The 19559-nt window shown below is 43.9% G+C and overlaps 2 annotated features.

The window, feature by feature from the left end:
• Positions 6868-7379: an enhancer, noted in NCBI's record as "H3K4me1 hESC enhancer chr20:39134803-39135314 (GRCh37/hg19 assembly coordinates)". NCBI's record gives its function as "activates a minimal SCP1, AML or CMV promoter by ChIP-STARR-seq in primed H9 embryonic stem cells {active_cell/tissue: H9 hESC(primed)}" and the evidence as "EXISTENCE:reporter gene assay evidence [ECO:0000049][PMID:30033119]".
• Positions 7380-7891: an enhancer, noted in NCBI's record as "H3K4me1 hESC enhancer chr20:39135315-39135826 (GRCh37/hg19 assembly coordinates)". NCBI's record gives its function as "activates a minimal SCP1, AML or CMV promoter by ChIP-STARR-seq in primed H9 embryonic stem cells {active_cell/tissue: H9 hESC(primed)}" and the evidence as "EXISTENCE:reporter gene assay evidence [ECO:0000049][PMID:30033119]".

Raw genomic sequence — 19559 nt, forward strand, 5'->3', positions numbered from 1 at the left:
CTACTTCCAAACCCTTGAGAATAAAAAAAAAAAATCCACTCAGTAAACTCATATATATCCTCTGAATCAAGTTCATAATAGCAGTTGTGACATGATGAGGGGGGCAGAAAACCACCATGGAGCCAGGAGACCTAAGTTAGAATCCCATGTCTAATTGCCCTTTGGGTCTAAGTTTCCTCATCTGTGAAAAAGGTGAAATAACAGCATTCTCCCCAACAACTGCTTAGACTTGCTTCGCCTAATGAAACCACTTCAAGGATGTATACTTATGAGTTGATTATTGCCCAATGTCCACTGGGGAATCAAGAAAGGCCATCAGTACACCAGGCCCCACTGTTGTGTGCAGACTCTGCATGGGACAGGAAGCATCAGCTCTTGGACTCCCCAAGAAGGGCGTCTGCACCAGCCTGGGCTACCATGGGCCCTGCAGTATTGATCACCAGTATTGCAGAGGGAACATTTGCCTTTATTCCCCTTTCAAATAATTAAAGTATAATATTTTATGGCCTGATAAAATTTACTGAGACCCTTGGCACGTAATTATAGTGCTTCTTTAAAGGAGACCCCATAAAAGATGCATGATTAGAAAGTTAAGGATCTGGATAGAATTGCAACGATGTGACAAATAATTTACAAGTGATAAACTGTCTGAGGGGGAAGAAATTCCAATAACCTCTGATGAAGGCTAACAATTAAAATAATAAATTCCCCAAGATCAAGGGTAAACCTTTTTTCTTGGTCAAAGACTTAGACTCCACAGGCCCAGGAACAAGAACAAACCTTCTTGTCAAAGTCAAGTCCTGGTTTCTCCGGACATCTGTTCTTTATTTCTTTATGTGTCTATCTTTTGTATGTAGGCATTTACATATTTAACTTTTTTCTTAATTTATTTATCTACTAATTATTCATTTTTATTTATAGCCATTCTTTCACTCCCTCATTCTATTAATTCTTCCTTCCATTCATCTATTCACCTGCCCCATCTATCCATCCTTCTATTTATTTATTCATTTATCTCTCTATTCATCTATTTTCATCTGTTCGTTTAACCCTTTATTAATTTACTAATTTATTTATCTATCCATTCATTTACTTTTATTTTTCCTCCTCTACTTATTTACCCATCCATTCCCATCTACATGCATTGCTCACTTGCGGTAAGCAGATTGTTAACTGTGTCCTAAGGCAGTGCCACCCAGTAGAACTATAATGTGAGCCACACATGTAATTTTAAATTTTCTAGTAGCCATATTTTTAAAAATAAAAAAGAAATAAGTAAAATCAATTTAAATAATAAAGTTACTATGTAATAATTATTTTTGTTATTATAAAGTGAGTATTGTAGCATAGTATATATTTATTTTAATATAAAATACAAATACCATTAATATTTAATACTTTTTTCACTCGTTTTATTTAACTCAACATATTCAAAATCTTATCATTTCAACATGCAATCAATATAAAAAACATTGAGTTATTTTGCATGTTTTTTGCCCTCAGTCTTTGAAATCCACTGTGTATTTTGAACTTGCAGCTCAGCTCAATCCAGACCAGCCATATATAAAGCTCTCAATAGTAACATGTGGCTCATGGCTGCCATGCTGGATAGCACAGCTCTAGGACTTCAGAGATGAATCAGACATAGCCTTTGCCCTTGGATAGTTTACACTAGGGTAAGGATGGAGAACGTATTAGTTCATTTAATCTTCATTTAAGGTATAAGTACATGATACTCCCATTTTACACTAGAATAAGCCAAACCTCAGAAAGAAGCAGTAAAAAGTTTTGGAATCAAATAAATTGAGCCTCTTAAACTACTGTGGCAAACACTCAGGCAGAGCTTATGCTGTGTAGCTATGACCAACTGAAGGGAATCATCTCACCTTCCCAAGAGCTGGCAAGGGCCAGGCATCAGGCAAGACACCACTGGGAAGAAACAATTGCATCAGCTTGGAAGTAGGGAGGCAGATACACAACAGAGGAGGCCTTTCCAGGCAAAGCAGACAAGCAGAGAGAGAGGAGAAGGAACTAATACTCCTCAAACATCTGTTATGCCCAAACCAGTCCCTGAGTTCTCCAAATATCTCTGCACAGAGACTCGGGATGTGAAAGAATATATTTCAGAGAATAAAAAAGCCCACATGGATTATAACTAGCCTTCTGCATCAAAAATTATAGTGTCCTATCCATTCATAACTAAGAGAGCTAGGATTCTATGGCCAATTAACTACAAGGCACCCAAGCCTGAAGAGTATGATGATGATGACAACAGTGATAATAATGGTAATAGCAGTTACAAGAGCTCACATGACTGAGCATTTTCTATCGTATTCCAAGCACTTCACCTGCGCTGGTTCATTGATACACTTATTTTAGAGATGAGGAAACTGAGGCACTTTCCCAAAGCCACCAACCTACTGAGTGAGTGTTACTTACATAGACCCCCATAAAGAGCACTGAATTGGAAACAGACTCAGCCAGATAGGATAGAGGCTGCAGGATGGCCACGGAGGGTGTGAATTAAGTACCCCTGGATCATTGTTTCTAGGAAGTGCATAGTCCCCTAAAGAAGAAAAACCTATGAACAAATAATGACCCTAAAGAGTTCTAGGTGCTCTGTTTACAATAGCAAAGACTTGGAACCAACCCAAATGCACATCATTGAGAGACTGGATGAAGAAAATGAGGCACATATATACCATGGAATATTATGCAGCCATTAGAAAAAGAATGAGTTCATGTCTTTTGCAGGGACACGGATGAAGCTGGAAACCATCATCCTCAGCAAACTAACAGAGGAACAGAAAACCAAACACTGCACGTTCTCACTCGTAAGTGGGAGTTGAACAATGAGAACACATGGGCACAGGGAGAGGAACATCACACACCAGGGCTTGTCAGGGGGTTGGGGACAAGGGGAGGGACAGCATTAAGACAAATACCTAATGCATACTGGGCTTAAAACCTAGATGACACGTTGATGGGTGCAGCAAACCACCATGGCACATTTATACCTATGTAACAAACCAGCACATTCTGCACATGTATCCCACAACTTAAAGTAAAATAAAAATAAAAAAGAGTTCTAGGTGCTGAGCCAGACATCCATACACAGTGGAGCTCACATGTGAGGGGAGCTGTCACTTCTCTTTAGGGATGAGAGAGGTGGTCAGGAAGGGTTTCACAAAAGAGATGATGCTCAAGCATCATAAAGCTTTCTCTGATTCTCCCAACAGGAAGTAATCCCTTTCCCTTCTACAAGTAAGCCACTTTGTTCAGGTCCTTGGAGCCTGGGCCCCATTGGGCCAGTTTCAGCCCCCTCCTCCTTCCTCACCCAGCACAGCCCGCTCACTCTGTGATTCCCTGCAGACACCAGGCAAGCTTTACACTTACTCAGCATGGATCAATGGAGAAATACAATCACTTGGATTTCTGAGAATGTATATATTTGTTTAGAAACCCCTGTCTTTCTCGGGTACAGACAAAACACTGCCGGCTTACCACCTCCCAGAGACGCACTGTGGGAATGATTTAAAGGCTTTGACTGTCAGTAGCAATATCAATCAGACGCGCTTCCCAGCGGCCTCTGCCCAGGAACAGAAGAGACATCAGGCAAAGGGGCGGAAAGAGGGACATAGCACTGGAACCAAAGTCAGGTGGAGAGAGAGAGATAAAGGGGAGGGGGAGAGAGAAAGTGAGAGGCACTAAGAAAACACAGGGCAGGGGTGGGAGTGTGCAAAAAAAGACAAAGGCTGGGAAAAAGCTATTCGGAGTTAGGGAGACTGAAAGAGTCAGGAAGGGGAAGAAAATAAAAGAGACAGAGACAAACATGGCCAGACTCGAAGTAAGTCAATCAGACACCAAGATACGGATGGGGACAAAAATGATCAACTAAGGAGGGAAAGAGGGAGAGCAAGAGAGCAGGGACAGACAGAAAGAGAGGAGTGAAAGGAGACAGGGAAGCATGTTTCTAGCACGCTGGACCACACCAGTTCCTCCCTGCCTGCACTCTGCTCAGCTGTTCCCTCTGCCTGGAAGGCTCTTCCCCCAGATTCTTGCATAGCTGGCTTTTCCTCCCCTTTCCAGCCTTTGCTGAACTGACACTACCTCAAAAAGTTCCCCAGTAGCCACCCCAATGGAAGGAAGGTCTGCCCTGCTCATCCCTACCCATTGTTCTGCATCAGAAAAGAACACCCCACTGATTTCTTTTATAGAACTCATGTAAATATGTTATTTTCTTGGCTTTTTATTATTCACTTGGGGCCACCATGGTCCTGGCATATCCCCATGATCTAGAACAGTGTCTGTGTCTGACATAGAGCAGGTGGTGCTTCATAACTGAAGAACAGATGAGTGAATGAACAAATGAACAATAGTAAAGGTAAAATCATTACTGAGCCAAAGCACTTCTCTTTGCCTACTCAGGTTACTCAGGTTGTAATAGTGCGATTTGGTGGCAGGGTTGGGTGTTGACTGGCAGTGCACGCCTGTTCTCAGCAGCTGGGCAAAGGCGGGGCTATCTGTGATGGAAGCATAGGACAGGAGCCTGCATCTGTGGATGGAGCTAAAGAAGATTCTGGGGAGACTGTGGGGTGGCTGGAGAGCTGGGAATTTTCTACCTGCAGAGGCCCCTCTGCAGTTCCTTTCAGACATGAATGGTTCCATCCATGATATTGCCTTGTCTAAAGTTGAAAATGACCCTGTAGGCCAAAGTGCATGATTCCCACATATATTTCTTGGGCAGCCAAATTTCCTAACTTAACTAACGAGGTTCCCACCAGCCTCATTAGGCCTAAGATGGCTTCCCCATCATGAAAGCTCTTTGTTTCTATGAAAAGAGCTCTTAGGAGCCATTGAGCGAGATCAGCTCCTGCTGATCAATGCTGAAGAGCACTCATGGGGAACCTTCCAGTCAAGATCAGAGTGCTTTGGCCTCCCAAAAATCCCTAGTAAAGGCCATTTGGCTTTCTGAAGCCAGACAAAAGGCAATTATATGCATTTCTATCTTTGGAAAATGTATTTGAGGAATCAGTGGTGAGGCCTGAATGCAGGAGATGCAGAGAGTCTGGACTGCCTGGTGAAAAGGATGCTGGCCATGAAATCCCAAAGTCAGGGGACCTCTTCAGGTCACTTACAGGGTGACTCAGTCCAAATAGCACTGGAGGCGATCCACAGCCTGCCACCCATCTCAACCCTTTCATTTCGCCTCTGACCTTTCTCTTCTTGCCCATATTTGTTCTTGCATAAATTTAACATAGTTACATTCATAAATTCCAGTTAATATTCTGCTTTCTAGGTAATGTATAATAAACATCTTGTATGTTTCCATGAGATCTTTGTCATCAACACTGCTGATGATTACATTGGTGCACCATGATTTCATTTACCACACCCTTGTAAATGGGCCTTTGAGAATTATCTAGGGTTTTGCTGTTCTAGATATTGATGTAACACACATCTTTTGCTTATAGCTAGTCCTTTCCTCAAGATCATTTTCACACCTTGAATATCAGGGTGTGACAATATGTTCTCATATTGTCCCAAAAGCTTGTAAGAATTTGGATGGTCACAAGCAGTGCATGCATGATTTTCATTCCAACCTCACCAGCATTGGTCATTAATAACATTTTTTTCTTAAATGATTAACGTAAATCATTTTAATCTCCTTGGTTAGAACTAAGAATTAACATTTTTGAAAATGTTTGTTTAATTTTTACATAATTTCATATGTGAATTTTTGTTTAGAGATTTGCTCAGCCCATCCCATTCCTATCTGCATCTGTAAATTTAGGGTGTAAGTCACCATCCATGGCCACCTCTGAAGAATAAAGAATGATATATTCAGGGGGTAAAGTTATAAACTGTGGGCAGTACTCAAAGCTTCAAATCAAGTCCTTGCAATGGAGTAGGGGCAGCCTCATTAACAAGGACAGCCACACTTTCCCCAGTCAAGTCTTGATATACCACAGGACTAAGCCAGTGGGTCATAATATTTATGCACTCTGTGCCTCAGGCACTGTGCTAAGCACTTTACATATATATTTCACTTAATCTTTACAAGGTCACTGAGATGTAGACATTAGAATTTCCATTTTACAGATGGAGCTGAAATAAGTAAAGTAATTGCCCCAACATCACCCAGCCTAGTGAAGATTCAAACCCAGATCTGTGGATCCATAAAGCTATGATGTAACCACTGCATTAGCTTCTGAATAAATAAAAAAAAAAATCAAAGGGGTTAAAAAATTGAAAAACATGATACTGTCTCTACCCTACATGTGATCACCAGTCTCCTGAATAGATAAGTAGGGAGAGCCACAAAGCCATGTGACCTATGTCATTACAGGTCTTTGAGGTCAGGAAGCCATGAGGACAGAGGTGAGAATCCCTCACTGAGGAGCTGAGGAAGGCTTCATGGAGAAGGCCATGTCCCATGGAGTACTGAAGCATGAATGAGAATTTGCCTCATGGACAAGAGTTGGGCTGAAGAGAGAAAGGAGGGCTGAGAGCCGGGTCTCGCCAAGAATGTGTGCCCGCAGGTTGGCAGGACTTACGAGTAACTACAGAAGGTAAGTTTTGGACTCGAATAGACCTGGTTTTGAATCCTGCTTCTTCTTGCTAGCTATGTGATTAGATAATCATTTCAGTCTCTGAGCCTCAGTTTGCCCATCTGCAAAACAGGCACGATTGTTTCACCAGTTGTTGTGGAGACTGAAGAGCATATGGCAGTGATGTGCTCAGGCTGGTACCTGGCAGAGAATCACTGTGCTGCCATCCCTAAGGACCTCCCACTTTTCTTGTGCCTCATCTTCTGCTTCTATAAGCAAACCTGAGAGCGTGTCCCATGAGAAGTGGCCTCCAAGGACACACAGCTGGGAGCACATATTTTCTGCCCAAAGGAAGCAACCAGAGTGCAGTGAAAATCACCTGGTCTTGGATTTAGCTACACTTGGTTTTGCACCCCATTTATACCACTTACTAGCTTGGACCTCAGAATGTGGACAAGTTACTTACCTCCATTGAGGCTCAGTTTTATCATCTGTGAAATGGGGACAGTCAGCCCTGTCTCACAGGTAATAGGACACATGGGCCCAGTATCCTGGACATAATATACATCAGTGTGCAATAGAAGGTCCCCAAAACCCCACCTCCTTATAATCAACACATGTGGGCACTGACTGCAATGGCCTACAAGAGATGTCCATGATTATGTTCATCTACAGCCCCCATCTAGGGACATCCCCAAAGGCCCCTGGGGCCCTTCAACCTTCAGGGTGCCCAGCCTGGCAGGGCCTATGAGCAGTAGCTGTGCCTCTGCCCCGGAGACCAACTTCTCCACATCCCCCCCCAGCTATTGCGGGAAGAGGCATGACTCATTCGAGGGAAGAGGGTTGGCACCTTCTCCCCCAGCCGCATGGGGCCAGCCAGCAGGCCTGTGGTTAAAGGACCTGCCTGGATTGCAAAACAAGCCAGTTTGCTGCATTCTGGGGTCACGTGATGCAGCCGGGCGCTGTGGATGGCCTTTTCTTCCCTCGCCCACTGACTCACTGCATGCTTGCTTGCAATCACATGGGCTCCCTGGGCCTCAGCTCCCCCAAGTGTTCTCGTTGCTGAGCTCATTTGGAGAAGAACTAAATTGGAAGGACTACTTCCTTTTTTCCCTTTTTTATTGCACCATGACTATATAAATATATTCTCATTATGAAAAAAGTGTAAAGACTATCAAATATAGAAATATAGAAATGGGAAACCACCCCTCAGGCCCTACCACATGGCCTCTGCAGTTGTAAATATGGTTAATATTTTCCTGAGTGTCTTCAAGGGCTCTGTCTTATTTTTTAATTAATGTTAGTTTACACAAGAAACTAACATTCCTCCTTTTAGAAATATTAGAATATTACTAAGAAGGCAGGAGTCCTCCTTGACGCTGTCATCTCCAATCCCATCCAGAGACAACCACTATTATCAGTTAAGTGTTTCTCCTTCAATCTCTATTCTTTGTGTGGTGTGTATAGATTACATATATGTACAGATTACATATAGAGAAACAGGAGTGCTGAGAGCCGGGTCTCGCTGAGAGTGTGTGCCCGCAGGTTGACAGGACTTACGAGTAACTACAGAAGGTAAGTTTTGGACTCAAATAGACCTGGTTTTGAATCCTGCTTCTTTTTGCTAGCTATGTGATTAAATAATCATTTCAGTCTCTGAGCCTCAGTCTCATACTCTCATAAGAAAGGCTAGGTGTGGGGGACATTTCTATACTTATTTTCCCAACTGTATGTATGTATGTTTGCATAACTTGTATGTATGTTTCCGTAACTTGTTTTTTCACACATCAGAATGTCTCAGAGATTTTCCACATTGTTACACAGAGGAGCCACAATTTCTTTTAATGGCTGCTTAGTATCTAATACTATAAATGTGCCATACCTTTTAATTGTTGTCAGGTAGTGACTTTAAAGTTGTCTCCATTTTTTTCTCTATTCACAAGCAATACTACGATGAATATTTTCCTATAATCCTTCTTTGCCCACATGCAGGTATTTTTTGAAGGTTGACACCAAGGAGTAGAATCTCTAAATCATAGCTGCACATGTTTGGGTTCAATAGATACCATTGCATGGCCCTCCCAAGAAAACAGTTCCTATTCTCTTCCTAAGTATCTACAAATATGCATCCGTGTGCACATGGGAATTCACTTTCCAAGAGTTCATGGTAAAATGGTCAAGAGGAAGACTGAGAAATACAAAGAATTTCTTCTCCCCAGGACTGAAAGTCCTGTTGAGGGACAGCATAGAGAGTAAGGAAGTGCCACAGAGCATTTAAACTAGATGGAAAGTATCCACCATTGACTACAAACTCACTATAGAGATGGAGAAATTGAGGCCTCTCAAAAGGAATTGACTTGCCGAGATTCAGCTCCCAGTCCCTTCTTGCCAGGCTTACTCTCAGCAGTTACAATGAAGCATACCCCCTTGTGTAGGAGCCAGAAGGATAGTTTCCAAATTCAAACATGATTATGTCCCCTCCTGTGCTTAAAATATTTCAGTAGCTAATTGTGCTCCAACTTCAAGACACCACCCAGACTTTTTTCACTGTTCTCCGGACAGACCCAGGATCTCTTCGGCCCAGGGCCTTTGCATATGCTTTTGGTGCTCTCTGGACTATTTCTTGCTCCTGCCTCTCCACACTCTCACATCTTGCTAACTCCTACTCATTCTTTTAAGAGGGAGTGTTCTTGCTATGTTTCCCAGGCTGGTCTCAAACTTCTGGCCTTAAGCGATCTTCCTGCCTCAGCCTCCCAAGTAGCTGGGATTAGAGGTGCAAGCCACTGTCCCCAGCCCCTACTCATTTTTGAGATCCCAGATGAAACATTCCCTCTGCAGGGAAGCCACCTTATCCTCCTTGAACAAACCAGAGCCCTCTCATTATGTCTCTTATCATCTCACACTTCTCCTTCAGAGCACTGTTCACAGGTTCCATTTACATTTATGTGTGGAATACAGCAAATTCTCACTTAACATCATCAATAGGCCCTCAGAAACTGTGACATTAAGCAAAATGACCTACTGCATGCCATAGGAACTTACTTCTTGTTTATATCAATTAGCTTATGGGAAAATGATTTTGTTATATAGCACATTCTTTGACTTAAAGTCACAGTTTCTGAGAACTTATCAACAATGTTAAATGAAGACTTATCATACTTAAAAAATATGTGACTCACCTTCTGAGTCTACAGGCTATATTTCTTTCTACTGGGTCCCCAGCCTTTAGCCCAGAGTAGATCTCAGTATTATCTTAATGGATGAATAAATGAAGGAGTAGCTTTACTCCTCTTCCCTTACCCTGTGACCTTGTGGTCTCACTCCTCACATCTCTCCCTGAGGCTTTCCCTTTGTCATCAGAGCTGAGGAGACAGCCTTGAAAAGTTCATACCTTCAGGAGACAAGGCGGCTGTCTGAAAGTCACTGGGGCTTCAGAATCAGCCATGCCTGATTTCAAAGCCCATTCAGCCACTTGGATTCTGACATGTCACTTTTGTCCACTGAGACTGTTTCCTCATCTGTAAAATGGAGCAGCAGCCCCTGTCTTGCAGGATTGTGTAAGGCATGAGCACAGGCCCTAGCCCAGTCAGCTACCTATTGTGGGTGTTCAATGCTGGAGGAAGCCCCAGAGACACCCCCTTCTCATCATCACCATACTGTGATCTGAAGCAGGTTTCCATGCTTATGATAATACAATGTTAACACTCCCCATGTATTCAGATCTTTGCCTTGAATCTAGGAGGTGAGTTCAGCTCTAGCATCTGATGGAACCAACCAGTAGCCACCAGATGCAGATGCTAAGGGCCAACATGGGATGAGAAATGGTATTTCCAGATCCCTGGAAGAAAAGTTGGTCATAAGAGGAGATGGAGGGGTATTTCCTGAGCTCCAGCTTCAGGAATCAGTAAGGGAGGCTGGGGGAACATTCTGCAGCCTTTGCAAGGGGCACATATGTAGTTTCAGAGCTGGGACCATGATCAAGAAGTCAGGAACACCCCAGAACTTCATACACTGCTCCTTTTGTTTCTTTCTTACCCATGGATGTGGACCTATGCCTTAAATCAGCATTGTTTCTGGACTTCATCATTTGTCAAGTATTCACTAATGCCAGGTCCCCGACAGGTACTAGAGATTCCCTGGTGGGCAAGGCAGACATGGCCCCTGCCCTCCCAAAGCTGCCAGGCCAGTGTCTTGGCCTTAGCAGCAGCAAGGAAAGGGAGCTAGAGGGCTGGTGGCCTGCTTTGCCAGGTCTGGGTAATAGGAGGCCTTCTCGACAAAGAGGTGCTAAGGGATATTCCAGGGGAGCAAGAAGTAGCCTGCAGTCTGATCTTGACAAACAAGCAGCCAACCTGCTATGGGTCAGGAGGTGTCTGCTCTCTAGCCCTCGGCAGGGTCGTCTGGACAGCTCTCAGCCTTTCACCCTTCTCCAGTTAAGGGAGCAAAAGCAGTTAGTCTCCTGAAGTCAAAAATTGTAATTAATGAATTACCATACAACAGAACTGTTCTTATTTTATTTTATTTTGACAGGGTCTCACTCTGTCACCCAGCAGGAATGTAGTGGCATGATCACTGCTCACTGCAGCCTTGGCCTCCCAAGCTCAGGCGATCTTCCCACCTCAGCCTCCCATGTAGCTGGGACCACAAGAACCCACTACCACATCCATCTAATTTTTTGTATTTTTTTGTAGAGGTGGGTTTTCTCCATATTGCCCAGGCTTGTCTCAAACTCCTGGCCTCAAGCAATCCTCTCACCTCAGCCTCCCGAAGTGCTAGAATTGCAGGTGTGAGCCACCATTCCCCGTCTTGTTCTGTTTCTATATTGTGTCCCTAGGATCTAGCACAGTGACTACCGTAAGAAATACTTGGAGGAAAGAAAAAAAGAAAGGAGGAAGGGAAAAGAGAAGGAGGGAGAAAGGGAGGGAGGGAGAGAAGGAGGGAGGGAGGAGAAAGGAAGGGAGGAAAGAAGAAAGGAAGAGAAAGGGAAGGAAGGGAGGAAGAGAGGAGAAGCAGGGAGGAAAGAAGGAGGAAGGAAGGGAAAGAGGAAGGGAGGGAGGGAGGAGGAAAGGAAGAGAGCGAGGGATTCTGTGAATGTCCTACATTCATTCACTCACTGATTTATTTACCCAACTTTCACTGGCCACTTCTCATGTACTAGACTATAGAGATATCAACAAAGCAGGGGTAGTCCCTGCCATCATGAGTCTGCGTTCTGGCGCCTGCAGGGAGAGCACACTGAAAGCAGCATCTTTTTGTGCCTCCTGTAGAACAGCAGCCCCAAAAAATGCTGAGCCAAATGCTCCACTGTCAAACAAGCTTGAATCTGCGCGCCCCTGCTTCCCTTCTTGGATTGACACATCAGAATATCAAAGATTCTGAGAAGTTTTGCAATAAAAAATGCATAATTAACCAGGTCTGTTCCAAACTTTTTCAGCCTGAAACCTGCTTTTTCTCAGATTGACATCCCAGGATCTTAAAGGAATCAGGCGAGATCGCCTCCCTCTTGGCCCAGGGTGTGAGCCTCCCTGTCCTGTTAGGCCAAGTTTCTCCTCACCCAGAGCTTATTCCCGACAGCACGCCCTGTGGAGGGGCCCTGCCGCCACAATTTCCGAAGCCTGGGTTTCTTGGCACCTAAGGGACTGCTGCCCTGACAGTGCTCCAGCAAACCATGCCTGTGCCATCTTGCCCCCACATGTGCTGGAGTCATGGAGATACCTCCTGTTGTTCTATCCCTGAGACTTGAGGACAGGAAGAAGCAGCAGGAGAAACCACAAGGGGCCGGACTCTGATTGGAACAGCAGGAGGGCTGGAGGCCTGGCCTGACCTGCAGGCCTGCACGATGATGCCAGAGCCCCAGGTTTTGGCAGAGCCTGAATCCTGCTTGCCAAGGGAATTTGGAAACTGCCAAACCCCTGTGCAGATGAAGACAAATATCAGCCTCGTGTTTCTGATTCACTTAGGCTCAGCTCATCAAAGTGCTATTTGGTGAAAGCTGCTTACATCTCAACAAGTCAAAGGACCTCCTGTGGAATTGTGATTTAGCTTTGTCCAAAGATCTCTTGGCCACGGCGGAAGGATTCAAGTCATGCCTCTCCCACTTCAGGAAGAACTGTAGCCACTAGATATGCTTTGAGAAATGTACTTCACTTTTCTGAGCCTCGGTTTCCTCAATTATAAACTGGGAGGTGGTACCAACCTGGAAGAATTCCTGTGAAGATTAAATAATTGAATGCATTATTTAAACCCCTAACACTTCATTAGTGCTGTATAAAATGGTGTATATTATTAATAATAGTATTATGATTATTATCAGCATCTGCACCACCACCTTTATATGAGTCAGTGAATCTGCAGTTATTAAGTCTGAAATGTTGCATAGGCTATTGAGATAGACTGTCATAGCCATGACCCACAATGACACCCCCTTCTCAGAATCCATGCCCTTCTGTAGTCTCCTCCCCAACAGTGACCCTAGACTTGGACGTGTGACTTGTTTTGGCCAATGAGACATCTGCCCTGAGACTGCTTTGCCTATAGGAAGGTTAGGGTGACCCATGCCTTGGAGAGAGGCCCAGAAATCCCCAGCCATCCCAGCTGAATCCAGGTCCCAACTGAAGAGAACCATATGATGAACCCAGAGGAAACCGGCAGAAAACCCGCCCAGCCTAATAAGTTGCTGTCCTATGCCACTAAGTTTTGGGGCTGTATTGTGCACAGCGCAAATACCTGGTATGACTATTTAGTTTACAGCTGGTCCATCTTCTTACCCATTCATCTCTTCCTTTGCTAGTCACAGGACTTTTTCTTGTTCAACTAGACTCCTCAGATGGGAGAAATGTAGAGCCCGGAGGCTGGTTGGAAGAAATTATATGTTTATTATCTTAATTCGAATCAGCCACCACCCCAGGCCACCTCAAATAGACTCACAGATTACAGATGAACCTGCCCCTCAATGCAATTAGCACGCCCTTCTCAGGACAGCTGGCCACTTAGAGCCCTGTGGCTGCCATTAGAACCAAAATACAAGTGAATTCAAAGTGATTCCAGACACTCCATGAATACAGGCTACTTACTGGGAAGGAACACCAGTCTGAAAATCTGAAAGAGGAAAAGTGAAATGCATTCGAAAAAAAAAACTAACTACAGTTTTATTGTTCCACAACACATACTGTAACTCACACTAAACACTGAAATGTTACCACCAACTGGTCCCTGGGTGGCTCTGATGAGTGAAGTGGCTTGGTTTGCAATTGGCATATTAATTGTTTGAATGCAAACAAGTTCCTCTAAAGTATCTGAAGCTGTTCGGTGAAGAGTTGATTCTCTTAAACACTTCAATATTAATACTGCAAACATTTACCCTGTGGGTGGGAGCAATGACTCAGGGAAATAAATCTCACATCTTTGCCTTCAGCCAGGTCTTCCTCCAAGACTTCAGATCTATAGTAACCACGTGTTTATGGAAAGCAGCCCCTGGAATGGATTTAACAGTGATAGCTTGCGTGTGCCAATCGCTGTGCTAACCACTACTCATTTAATTCTCACCACCACTCTATGAGACAGGCATTGCTTGTCTCCCCACTTTACAGAGGAAGGAAAGGCAGCTCAGAGGGGTTAAGTGACTCGTTCAAGGTTATGAAGTTGTGTGACTCCAAGTTCCACACTGTGACTTCCCCCAGCCCCACTCTGCCTCCCCATCTTGCCTCCTGTGTTTCTTTTTTCAGTGCCTATGTCCATTGTAGGTCCATCCATAGGTCCAAGCCACACACCTTCCAAAAGACCTCTTGAAAATCTCTCAAACATGGCCACTCTCTGCACCCACTGTGCCATGATTGCCATCCCAGATAATCACAATGTCCCCTAACTGGTCTCTCTCCCTCCATGTTGTCTTCCTCCAATTCATTCTCTTAACCACAGCTGGAGTCTGTCTACCCCAAGCCTGAGCTCCGGAGCTTAAACCCCACACGGCAGAAGGAGCAGAATTTTCCAAAGATAGTCAGGAGGGTAGCTGGGTGCAATGTTGGAAAAATGGGGATGTGTAGGCAGGGACAGAAACCGAGGGAGGAAAGCAAGGTTCAGAAAGGAAGAGGTGTCTGTAGAGATCACTTTCCATATGCAGGAAAAGCACAAGAGAAAGTCGAGGTTAATCATCTCTCCAATCTTTGTTCCTTCTCTGCAATAATTTACCTCTGAGATTGGCCTGACTCTCTAATAAAGAACTTTGAAGTGTGCAGAAAAAATCCGCACACAAAAACCGTGGTGAAAAAGGCCCTGCAGAATCTGGACCCTACAGGCTAGAGGATTCCCAGCCAGATTCTTACACATACACCCTCCTTTAAAAACACCTCTATATCCATATAAAAGTCCCCAAATACCCCATGCTCTCTTCCACCTTGGGGCCTTTGCACAGGCAGTTTCCAGAATCCACAGTTCTCTTCTTTCTCATGAGTCCCTCTACTAGCCAATTCCTACTTATCTTTCAGACTCCCATTTATACATCAGTTCCTTCTAAAAATGTTGCCTGAGCCTCAGGTCCCAATTAGGTGCCCTCAAAAAATATCTTCCTTGCTAACTTCCCCTCATTAACTGTCATTTGTTATACTTGTTTCTATTGATGGTGATGCTAATAACTATTGATAAATGAATAAATGAGTGATGTGTTTGCAACCCCAGTTTGGACTTGCCCAATCTGTGAGCCTGGGTCAAAGCGGTGCTATGGGCCCCAGGGCATGCCATGTCAGAAACAGACAAACCTCTGTCTAGGGAAACATACTCTGCCTCAAAGTTGAGTAAGAACTTGTATCTAAAAAGAGGCCTTTGGCTTCTTGGGCTCAGCTGTGGAACATGCTTGGAACACAGCAGTGAAGGGAGACATGAAGACAGCATAGGAAGAGGCAGAAGTGAGGGAAATAAGGATTAACCAGGACCAGGGTTAACCAGAAGTAAGGGTTAACAAGGGAAGCCACTTCCATTTTCAGTGGGTGTTCAAGGCAGGCAGCCTTCGGTTCAAATTTTATGTTCTACTGGGTCGTGAGAACTATCCATTTTTTTGTTTGTTTTTTGTTTTTGTGTTTGTTTTTTGAGATGGAGTCTCACTCTGTCGCCCAGGCTGGAGTGCATTTGTGGGACCTCGGCTCACCGCAACCTCTGCCTTCCAGATTCAAGCAATTCTCCTGCCTCAGCCTCCCAAGTATCTAGGATTACAGGTGCCTGCCACCGTGCCTGGCTAATTTTTTGTATTTTTAATAGAGATGGGGTTTCACCATGTTAGCCAGGCTGGTCTCGAACTCCTGACCTCAGGTGATCTGCAGCCCTGGCCAAGGACTATTCATTGTTATTGGTAACCAGAGGCCTTCTTTCTATTTTGTGAACATGCCAAGTTCTCTTCCCTGCCTCATGGCCTTTGCACCTGCTTTTCCCTGCACCTGGAATGCCCTCCCCCAGGTCCTTGCAGGGCTGGCGCCTCGTCACTCAGATCTCATTTCAAACATCACCCCCTCAGAGATATCCCCTCAGAGATACATCTCCTCATGTATCCCCTCAGAGATACATCTCCTCATGTATCCCCTCAGAGATACATCTCCTAACCCACCTCCTCACGTTCCCCTCACCCAGTCATTCTCTACCTTACAACCCTGCTTGATTTTCTTCATGGCACCAGCCGATGTCTTAAGTAATCCTATGTGTGTATTTATTCTGTGCCTCTCCCGCTCTAATGCAAGATTCGCAAAGCCAGGACTGTATCTGCTTGTTTGCTGCTCTATCTCCCATGCCTGGCACACACCAAAACTCAATAGGTAGTTATTGAATCAATGAATAAATGATTTTAATAAATAAATGAGTAAAAGACGCCAGAGTGAAGTCCCAGCCCTTGGGAGCAGAAGGTAAGAAAGGTAAAAGCAGAAATTAAGTAACAATGCAGGGACCCAAGGCAACCCAGTGATCTCACTTTGGTAGCAAAACCCACTCCAGAGCCACCAGTGATTTCCTAATACACAGTCTGCCCTTCAAATAGGAGGTGTCCTGAGCCTGCTGCTAAACAGAGCAGGGCAGTGTCTTCAGCCTCTGCACCAGGGGCTCAGAAATAAGCTTCTAGTTTGCTGGTTCTCAAACTACCTCAAGGCTCCACCCATTCCCTCCCTTGCATCCCTCGCCCAGCTCCTTCTTCAGCCTGATGTGTCCATCTGCACCAATGACCCAGAGGGATGAAAAAACAGCCTGATTTTCTTTTTTTTTTTTTTTAATTATACTTTAAGTTCTAGGGTACATGTGCACAACGTGCAGGTTTGATACATAGGCATACATATGCCATGTTGGTTTGCTACACCCATCAACTCATCATTTACATTAGGTATTTCTCCTAATGCTATCCCTCCCCCAGGCCCCCACCCCCTGACAGGCCCCGGTGTGTGATGTTCCCCTTCCTGTGTCCAAGTGATCTCATTGTTCAATTTCCACCTATGAGTGAGAGCATGCGGTGTTTGGTTTTCTGTCCTTGTGATAGTTTGCTGAGAATGATGGTTTCCAGCTTCATCCACATCCCTGCAAAGGACATGAACTCATCCTTTTTTATGGCTGCATAGCATTCCATGGTGTATATGTGCCACATTTTCTTAATCCAGTCTATCATTGATGGACATTTGGGTTGGTTCCAAGTCTTTGCTATTGTGAATAGTGCCTCAATAAACATACGTGTGCATGTGCCTTTATAGTAGCATGATTTATAATCATTTGGGTATATACCCAGTAATGGGATTGCTGGGTCAAATGGTAATGCTAGTTCTAGATCCTTGAGGAATCACCACACCGTCTTCCACAATGGTTGAACCAATTTACACTCCCACTAACAGAGTAAAAGCGTTCCTATTTCTCCACATCCTCTACAGCATGTGTTGTTTCCTGACTTTTTAATGATTTCCATTCTAACTGGAGTGAGATGGTATCTCATTGTGGTTTTGATTTGCATTTCTCTGATGACCAGTGATGATGAGCATTTTTTCATGTGTCTGTTGGCTGCATAGATGACTTCTTTTGAGAAGTGTCTGTTCATATCCTTTGCCCACTTTTTGATGGGATTGTTTGTTTTTTTCCTTAAATTTGTTTGAGTTCTTTGTAGATTCTAGATATTAGCCCTTTGTCAGATGGGTAGATTGCAAAAATTTTCTCCCATTCTGTAGGTTGCCTGTTCACTCTGATGGTAGTTTCTTTTGCTGTGCAGAAGCTCTTTAGTTTAATTAGATCCCATTTGTCTATTTTGGCTTTTGTTGCCATTGCTTTTGGTGTTTTAGTCATGAAGTACTTGCCCGTGCCTATGTCCTGAATGGTATTGCCTAGGTTTTCTTCTAGGGTTTTTATGGTTTTAGGGCTAATATTTAAGTCTTTAATCCATCTTGAATTAATTTTTGTATAAGATGTAAGGAAGGGATCCAGTTTCAGCTTTCTATATATGGCTAGCCAGTTTTCCCAGCACCACTTATTAAATAAGGAATCCTTTCCCCATTGCTTGTTTTTGTCAGGTTTGTCAAAGATCAGATGGTTGTAGATGTGTGGCATTATTTCTGAGGCCTCTGTTCTGTTCCATTAGTCTATATATCTGCTTTGGTACCAGTACCATGCTGAAAAACAGCCTGGTTTTCTAAGAAATGATTGTTAATCTTGCATATCAACTTTGGAGAAACGACGTCCCATTCTTCAGCCTCAAAGGTAGGAGAGTAATCACATGTCTTCAGAATGCTGTGAAAGGGAAACCACTGGGCAGCTAGAAACCACATGGTGGGTAGGTTGAGTGTACAGGCCCTTTTTTATACCTGTGCTCATTGTGGCACTAGTCACAATAACCAAAAGGTGAAAGCAAACCCGATGCCCATCCACAGATGAACAGATAAGTAAAATGTGGCGTATACACAGAATGGAATATTATTCAGCCTAAAAAAAGGAGAAAATTCTTACGCATGCTACTACATGGATAAAACTTAAGGTCAAAATGCTAGGTGAAATTAGACAGTCACAAAAGTATCCATACCAAATGATTCCACTTACATGAGGTTCCTAGAGTAGTCAAGTTCATAGAGACAGAAACTAGAAAGGTAATTGCCAGGAGTTGGTGGGGAAGGAGAATAAAGAGTTTTTGTTTAACAGGTACAATGCTTTAGTTTTGCAAGATGAAAAGAGTTCTGAAGATGGATGGTGGTGATGGCCGCACAACAGTGTGAATGCCCTTAATGCCACTGAACTGTATACTTAGAAATGGTTACGATGGCAAAGTTTATTTTATATGGTCAAGATGACAAATTTTATGTTATGTGTATTTTACCACAATTTTTTAAATGTTTTATTATTTTAAGTTTTGTGGTTTTGTTTTCTTTAATGCAAGCTCCGGAATCAGACACACCTAGGTTTGACTCCTGGTTCTACTTTTTCGCTTGTGATCTTGGACAAATTTCCTATCTGCTCTATCAGCCAGGATGCAGTCAGTCCAAAATATGGAAAGCACTCCAGACATCCCCAGCAGAAGGAAATTTAATTCAGAAAATTGGGTGCTTATAAAACGTTTGGAAGAGTTGGAGGAGAAAGGATCAGAGTCTGTCCCTAGTGTTCAGGTTTTCTGGCTGTGCTTCAGAAACTCAGCAATTTCCTCCTGACGCAGAAGTCAGGAGGTTCCAGGAAGCCACTGCTGACCCTCACAGCTGCCATACTTTCAGGTCAGGGCAGGTGACAAGCAGGGCTCACAGCAGTTCACATGTCTGCCATCACTGCTTGAGGAGAAAGAATGGCTTCTGGGCCCCTCTTCTTCCAAATCTTGCACAAGTCCATCTCACTGGCAAGAAAACTGATCACATCTAGAACTCTAGAGGCAAGGGAATCTCAGCAGAAGGTGGTTTCTGGGCTTCTGGTCACTGAGATTCAGGGCAGAGCATAGGAGATGAGAATAAAAAGCAGACCATCAAAAAATATGTCATGTATACCTCCCTGGCCCCAGGTTTTCTCATCTCTTCCATGAGGATATTAATA

This window comes from Homo sapiens, chromosome 20 (genome assembly GCF_000001405.40).
Source record: "Homo sapiens chromosome 20, GRCh38.p14 Primary Assembly".
Taxonomy (NCBI): Eukaryota; Metazoa; Chordata; class Mammalia; order Primates; family Hominidae; genus Homo; species Homo sapiens.